General features: G+C 39.8%; 1 annotated feature.

Moving 5' to 3' along the window:
* Positions 6,618 to 6,912: an enhancer, noted in NCBI's record as "tiled region #10277; HepG2 Activating DNase matched - State 5:Enh". NCBI's record gives its function as "activates a minimal TATA promoter and a strong SV40 promoter by Sharpr-MPRA in HepG2 cells {active_cell/tissue: HepG2}" and the evidence as "EXISTENCE:reporter gene assay evidence [ECO:0000049][PMID:27701403]".

Raw genomic sequence — 8,054 nt, forward strand, 5'->3', positions numbered from 1 at the left:
CCAAGGAGCTGGGACTACAGGCATGCACCACTACGCCTGGCTAATTTTTGTATTTTTAGTAGAGACGGGGTTTCACTATGTTGGCCAGGCTGGTCTCGAACTCCTGACCTCAGCTGATCTGCCTGCCTCGGCCTCCCAAAGTGCTGGGATTACAGGTGTGAGCCACTGTGCCCAGCCCAAAATTTTTTAAAGAAGAGAAATAGTGCCTCATGAAATAATAATAATTACTATTTCTGAGCTCTAACTATGACTCAGGCACTGGGCAGTGTACTTGACACACATCAGTTTAGTTAGTCCTCTCAACAGTCCTATGAGGGCCATAGCATTATTTATCACCTTTTAACTAATAAGGAAAATGAAGTTCAGAGAGAGAAGTAACTTGCTGGACATATCAGATTACCTGTTATCTCCTTCTCTTCCAAACCATGGTAATAACAGATAAAAGTGTTATAAAGTCCCTGTGAATAACTGGACTAAACAGCCAAGAAAGTCCTATAATAGATTATTTAAAAATTATTCTACATATAGTTATTGCTTTTATTACATCACATGATGACAGGTGGCAAGTAGTTTCCCGGCATAATTCACATCACAGGATTTCTCAATTATGTGCTATAACAAAGCTTTACCAATTTCGTGTTGTGCTTCTTTTGAAATTGTGAAACAAGAATGAGAAAATAGAGTTGATGACTCCCTGAGCCCCTATCAAGCAAGTGTCCCTCTATTGCAAAGCTGGCCCAGGGCCATACTCCGCTCCAACAGCCTCCAGAAGTCTCCTTCCAGGAGGCCCATCTGCCAGCATCCAGGCCCACAGGACAGTGTTCATCCTCCTGCTTGCAGGCAGCGAGAGGGGATGAAAAAGCTGCTGTACTTAAGTGGTTAATAGAGAAAGCACTTGGGGAGAGATCAGCCTGCAACAAAGAACTTTAGTGCGAATCCCAAGTCAAAGTCAGCAAGTTTTCAGAGAAGCAGGCTTGGTTGGAGGCTTTAAGCATGAATTGCAGATCAGGATAGGCCTGCTGTAAATAGGAAACAGATGGGGGTGAAGCTGAGGCTCCCTGTGGAAGCTTCTTCACCCTGAGATGACAGGCTATGGAGTGGGTGGCAAGAGGCCATCTCCAGAGAGCCACAACAGTTACTCTGGCCTTAAATGGGCTTCAATTATGTACAATTATGCACAAAATTTCCAGTTTCCTCCCTTACATGTCCATGAGCACCCCAGGCTCTTCCTGCCTCAGAGCCCTTTGGCACGTTTCCTCTGTGAGGAAATTTCTTCCGTCAACTCCTTGTGTTTCAGGTCTCACCTCCTCCGAGCTCTTCCCTGCCATCTTATCTGAAGAAGGCCTTTCCTACTATCCTCCCTCCCTTCTGGTGCTCATCATAATTCTAAAAGACACAATTCCAAATGCCAGAACCCCGAATGTTGAAATCCCAAAAGATCCAAATTTCTAAAGTCTAAAATCCTGAAAATCACAATTCTGAAAGATTAAAATCCTGCAAGCCGAGTTCTGAGGAAGGCAGCTGTGCATTTTTGATCGTATACAGCATAGTTGCCTTTTGTTTGTTGCAATATGTTGGCAGAACGATAAAAGACAAGAAATCGTCTTTACTTGCAAATCAAGTATGGCTTAAGGAGATATCTGTGGGTGCCAAGTTGACAAAAGGTAGACTAGTGGACTTAGTTTTACTTGTCAACTTGGATGGATTAAGGGATATGTGGAAACCTGGTAAAGCATTATTTTGGATGTGTCTGTGAGGGTGTTTCCAGAGGTTAGTGTGTGAGTCTGAGTGGATTAAGTGGGGAAGATCTGCCCTCAGTGTTGGTGGGCACCATCTAATCAGTCAGGAACCCAGAGAGAACCAACACAGAAGGTGAGTTGGTCTCCTCTGAGAGCTGGCACACTTTTCCTCTCCTGCCTTAGACATCAGAACTGCAGGCTCAGCAGCTGTTAGTCTCTAGAATCTACACAGGGTCCTGAGGCTTTTGGCCTGGAACTGAGAGTTAGACCATCAGCTTCCCTCCTTGTCAATGTAAAAACATCAAAACTTCTTCAATCAATAAAGAGATGTCCTTTTTGTACATCTATCTAAATTTGTGAAAGAAAAAAATTCTTGAGATCTCAGCTCTTCAGGAGATTGCCTATTTGGTAGTGATCTGTTGTAATGTTTGACAAATCTTGTCAAAAGCCTTAAGGTGTCGGTCATGGTATTTCAGATGACCACAGTTAAAAGCTAGGTGCACACAATTACCAACCATAGTGATAGGCATTTATACATTTTGCTTTTTGACCTATTTATTTGTGAATATGGTTCATCTTCTCATAACTGTTATGCTCATGTGACTGTCATTAGTATACCTGAGTGTTTATGCTTGCAAAAATATGTTATTATTGCCTATTTTATTCTGTGAAGGGGACTATGAGTGTTTGATTGTGGGTTTATGTTTCTAAAATAAATCCCCTAATATAAATAGATGTCTTAAATTTTTTTAAATTATTTTTTCCAGAATTATGTTTTTAGAATTTTGATCTTTCGGGATTGTGATTTTGGGATTTTAGACTTAAAGATTTTGATCTTCTGGGATTTCAACATGTGAGATTTGGGCATTCGGGATTGTGTCTCTCTGGATTATGGCCCAAACTCCTTCCCTTCACCCTGTTTGTTCCCCTCATAGCATGTGGCATGAGCTTAATTCCAGGTTCTGTTATTTATTCATCTATTTATTGCCTGTTTCTGCCATTAGTCTACAAGGCCCAGAAAGGCACATGTGTCTGACTCTCAACATTGATCTCAGTGCCAAGCACAGAGCTGGGAACAGAGTAGGTGTTCAGCAAATGTTTGCCAAATAAATGAAGGAAGGAATGGAACTCTCAACCACCCCCTGGGCAACATATTTGGAAGAAGATTTTAATAAATCCATGGAATAAGGAAGTATTAAAGGCCTTTGGAAAGAGGTTAATTTGATTTTAAAAACATTCTCAGAGAAGAACCTTGGGAGAAAAAGAAACATAAATAAGCTGGTTCATGGTATTTCCTGGAAATGACTTAATGACATTGCCTATCTGACATCCAAAAGCTGTGGGAACATTGTCCCTTTTATATTCTGTCTCTTCCCAGTTGTATTTCTAACAGGATTACAATGATAAAAGTACAGAGAAAGTACCAGAAGAGTTATATTTTCAGCTATGCTAAGATTACATTTATGGACATTGAAGTGCTGTCATAGCAATGTTGACATTTTGGCTGTTTGACTACTCTTTAGTGTAAAGAAATGAGTATGAAATCTGTATATTTATTAACAGTTCTTGTAAAGATATAAGAGGATGTAAGTTATTGACCAGACTAAAGTTTATATTATAATAAACTTACTTAATAAATTTCACTTATTTAAGGTATTCCTATGCCCCACGACCATAGTTTAAGACTGGAAGTACTGAATCATAAACTCAGCTCCACAATCAGTTGAGCATAGATAGCAGTGGCTGTGGCTGTGAGCAGCTGAGACTGGGCCTGGGCCTGGTGGAGCCAGTTGCAAGTTGCTGTACTGACCTGCTGGTTGGGGAGCTGAATCCCAGCTTCAGGGATATTATTAGAATTATAGAGTTAATGTGAGCACAGACCAGGTCTACTCTTTGGGATATGGGCCAAGCATCAAGCTAGAGGAAGAACTACAGCAAATCACAGTGGCTGGGAAAGGAAGAAAATATCTTCCTTCATTCCTAGTATTTGAATATAGGTGAAGCCCACTTAGAATTCATTCATTCATTCACCCAAACCTAAACTTATATTCTTGTGAGCGTGTAGTAAGTTACTATGATGTACCAGACGTAGAATTGATGCTCAATATATAGGCAGTCCTTACTTTGCATGTGGTGCAGGACCACAAATATTACCATGCAAGCTGAAACTGCGCAAAGTAATCATCATCATAAATAGGAAAAATTATGACTGTTCCATGACCTTTAAAAACTGCCAGTGATAAATATATAGGGAAATGAAAAATGTAATAAAACTATTATTTACTTAGTGCATGATAATTGAAAACATTAGAAACACTGAGAATTAGTGTAAAACACTCATCCAAAGTAGTCTGAACAATGCCTGCTCGCCTTCTCTTATCATCATATATCTTACAACATGGAGCAAACATGTTTTCTATGTAGCAGTAAATTGTCATATTCCTTTCTAAGTATGGATCAGTTTCTAATATTTTCTCCTTTGTTCTTTGTATGTTGATGTGAAATATCTCTGAGAGTTCTTTCAAGGTGAAATGGTTGGCCGGCATCACTTTCTCTGGGACATCTTTATCCTTTTTGTCACAGCCACTTTGCTAAGTTTCTCTGACTGCATATCTAGAGTAGATGCAATGGTAAAGGATGTCAACATGCCATAATCAGTTACTTCTTCTATAACTTCACTTACATTTGATTCGAATTTGACTTCCAGGTTATCACTTTTCATTTTTTGGAGTACTTTCATCTTTTTCAGCTAATTTCCAGTTTTGATTATTCATGTTTGTAAACTGTCACATGGGTTTATTACTGGGAGACAAGGAAGCAACACAACCACTTGATTTGCTCTTTGTGTGTCAACTGAATAACAAATGCACAGTGGAAGAAGTGATGTGATCGGTTTGGAAGAAGTGATGTGATTGGTTACTGATCATGATGTGAATCTGTTAAGAAGTGATTTGTGGACCAAAGAGCAAGCAGCTCACAGTTTATAGTTCATATATCATGGTTACTGAAATTTGAACTGTGTTGTTGAAGGGCTGGTGCTATTTAACTAAATTGTGGTCATTGAAGTTCATGCATAGTGGAACTGTGTAAAGCAAAGTGTTTTACTCTGTTTTATGCTGCCATAACAGAATGCCACAGACAGAGTAATTCATAATGAAGAGACATTTACTTGGCTGATGGTTCTGGAGGGTGGGAAGTCCAAGAACATGGTCCCAGCATCTGACAAGGGCCTTTGTGCTACATTATCTTATGTAGAAGGCAGATGGGCAAGAGAGGGTGAGCACAAGAGAGCAAGAAGGAGCTCAACTTGTTTTTATAACAGACTCTCTCCCATGATAACTAACCTGCTCCAGTGATAATGATCATGACCTAATCACCTCCCATTAGGTCCCACTTGCCAGCACTGTCACATACGAGATTAAGTTTCCAACACATGAACTTTGGGGGACACATTCAATCCATAGCACAAGGACTGCTTGCACATAATAGGGATAATTTGAGAATGTCGTGGGGGTACATGATAGAGATTCCCACTAAGTCTGTGGGTCAGAGAATAAATTCTTAGAGAGATGACATATAAGTTGAGACTTGATAAATGAGTAGTAATTATCTTATTAAGGGGGAAGTGTAGGAAAGATTGTTCCAGGCAGAGGGAAGGGTATGTGTAGAGCCCCAAATGCAAGAAAGTGCATGGGACTTGGGGTGGTAGCCATGGTTGTTTCAGGCTGACTGTGGGTGACAATCCAATTCCATTATCTTGACTCCCTCCAGCCATGCAGGCTGCTGCTTTTAGTTACCAGGCAGCACTGACTGCTGTAGCTGGGGACCTCAAATGCTCTGTTTGGGACATTCACCTGAAGAAGGTGAAGTGCAGTCTACTGCCTCTTCTATACCAAGAGTCGCAGTTGGGGCAGCTGGGAAAATCACCAGGAAAATAAAACCAAATCAAACAAAATTAATTTAGAGGATAGTTTATATACATAAGATAGGGAATACTAACGATTCAGATGCAAACACTCTAAGTACAGAATGGTATAAGACAGGAAGAAAATCCCTTTCACGAGTCACAATTCAGAAGGTCAATTCAAACCTTTAAGTGATAAACCACATTTCTAGTCAAGCTGAATACAGAGTACAGTATTTTATTTGCTAAAATCTGAATGGTTACTACGAGCCACCCAGCTTAGGTAACATACCCAAAATAATCTCTATGAATTCCCACAACACTCTTATGGGATAGCCATTATTATCTCAATTGTATAAATGAGAAAACAGTGGTTAAGTCACTATAAGGTCACAGAGCTTGGATCCAAACCTAGTGCTTATTTTACAGCCTGTGCCTTTAGCAACTATACCACCAGTATATTTAATCATAACTAATAGAAACAAACACAAATATTGAGTGATTACTTTTATTTTTTATAAGATAAACAGACCAAGAGAAATGCTAGTTAAAAGCATTTATCTTTAGAGCAAGAATGCTCCATCCTTGTAGAAACATTGAGACAAAAAGAATGCATAAGAGCAGCAGTTTTAAGAAAAGTTTGGTGAAACTAAGTGAAATTCCAGGCATGAGCAATCAATTTAAGATTCTATTAGGAAAGCAAAACAATGAGATTATTTCAATTATTGAGTTAACAATGAGATTTCACCATCTACATTCTAGCCATGAGTAAGACATTTATTTGAATCAGATAAGGAGATATAATGTCATTTGAAGGAGGCCCAGTACATTTAATAACAGAGATAAATGAAACTGACAATGATCTCATACTTTATAAATCTAAACAAAGGACCAAGGTTAGACACAGGGATCCTAGTGGTTGATGAGTTAGTTAAAATGCCGCTTTTTACCCTATCTATTGGAGACCAGACAGGATTTTTGTTTTCTTCCTCTAAACAAGGAGGTTAAGAAAGAATTAATCCAATTGCATTTAAAACAAAGTGCAGGAGCAAGAAACAACCTTGAACCTTCCTTACTCAAATAGCAGCTCTGTTGGTAATTTAATCACTAACTGAGTTGTGTAACTTGCCTATGACAAATGGTAAAATACCTACAATGTGGAAATCTGCCAGAGTAATTCCTTCACAGGAATGGGAGGGAAAGGCTCAGCCAGCTCACACTCATACCCTGCCTCCCTATGCTCAGTGTCTGAAATTGCTTCTGTATTAGGAGAGAATATGGGAACTGTTCTGGATCTCAGGAGAATGTGAAGTCACTGAAATGTTTTTGAATACCCACTTCCCTTCACTCCCCTTCCCACCCTACTTGGTACTTGCTGGCATGTGGCACCATGTGAGCTACAGGCAGTGCATAATGAAGTCTAAATGTTAGCAAGGAATGGACAGGAGATCCTGTGGTGTGTGATCTGGCTTGTCCTTTCTGCCTTCCTTGCGCTAATGTTTAGTTTCAGACACGGAAATTTTGAATGGGATCAATCTGAACTGTTCCTTTCTTTGCTGATAAGTACAACTTTTCGTTCTCCAGTCTCAGCTTAAGCTTCATTGTCTCTTGGAGGCTTTCCTAAGTCACCTGAACTACATTAGGACTCCTTGGCACACACTTCCACAGCTCCCTATGCTTTCTAGTACTAAACACACTTCTTCCATCTTCTCCAGTGCATCAGAGGGTTCACTGCAACATTTCAACACCCAGTCACAATGTCTGGCATGTTGCTTGCCTTTAGTCAATGTTTGCAGAATGAATGGTTGCCTTTGTCATTTTCTTTTTAAAAAGGTATTGTAGACAAAGGCAGTGGTTCACGCCTGTAATCCCAGCGCTTTGGGAGGCTGAGGCAGGCAGATCACAAGGTCATCACAAGGTCAGGAGTTCAAGACCAGCCTGGCCAGCAGTGAAACCCCATCTCTACTAAAAATACAAAAATTAGCTGGGCATGGTGGCACACATCTGTAGTCCTAGCTACTCGGGACGCTGAGGCAAGAGAATTGGAACCCGGGAGGCGGAGGTTGCAATGAGCTGAAATTGCGCCACTGCACTCCAGCCTGGACCACAGAGTGAGACTCCATCTCAAAAAAAAAAAAAAAAAAAAAAGGTATTGTAAAATATTTAAGACAAACACAAATGTGTAAATAAAAATATTACAAACCCCCACATATTGACTACAGATTAAGAATGAAAACAATATTGATACAAGTTTAAGTCCCTACTTAGTCCTCTTTGATCACATTCTGCTCTCTAGAGGCAACTAGTGGTCTGAATTTGGTGACTACTATTTCCATGCATTTCTTAATACTTTCACTACACATATATGTAAACTTATTGTTTTGCATATTTCTATAGTTTGTACAAGCATT

This window comes from Homo sapiens, chromosome 5 (genome assembly GCF_000001405.40).
Source record: "Homo sapiens chromosome 5, GRCh38.p14 Primary Assembly".
NCBI classification, from domain to species: domain Eukaryota; kingdom Metazoa; phylum Chordata; class Mammalia; order Primates; family Hominidae; genus Homo; species Homo sapiens.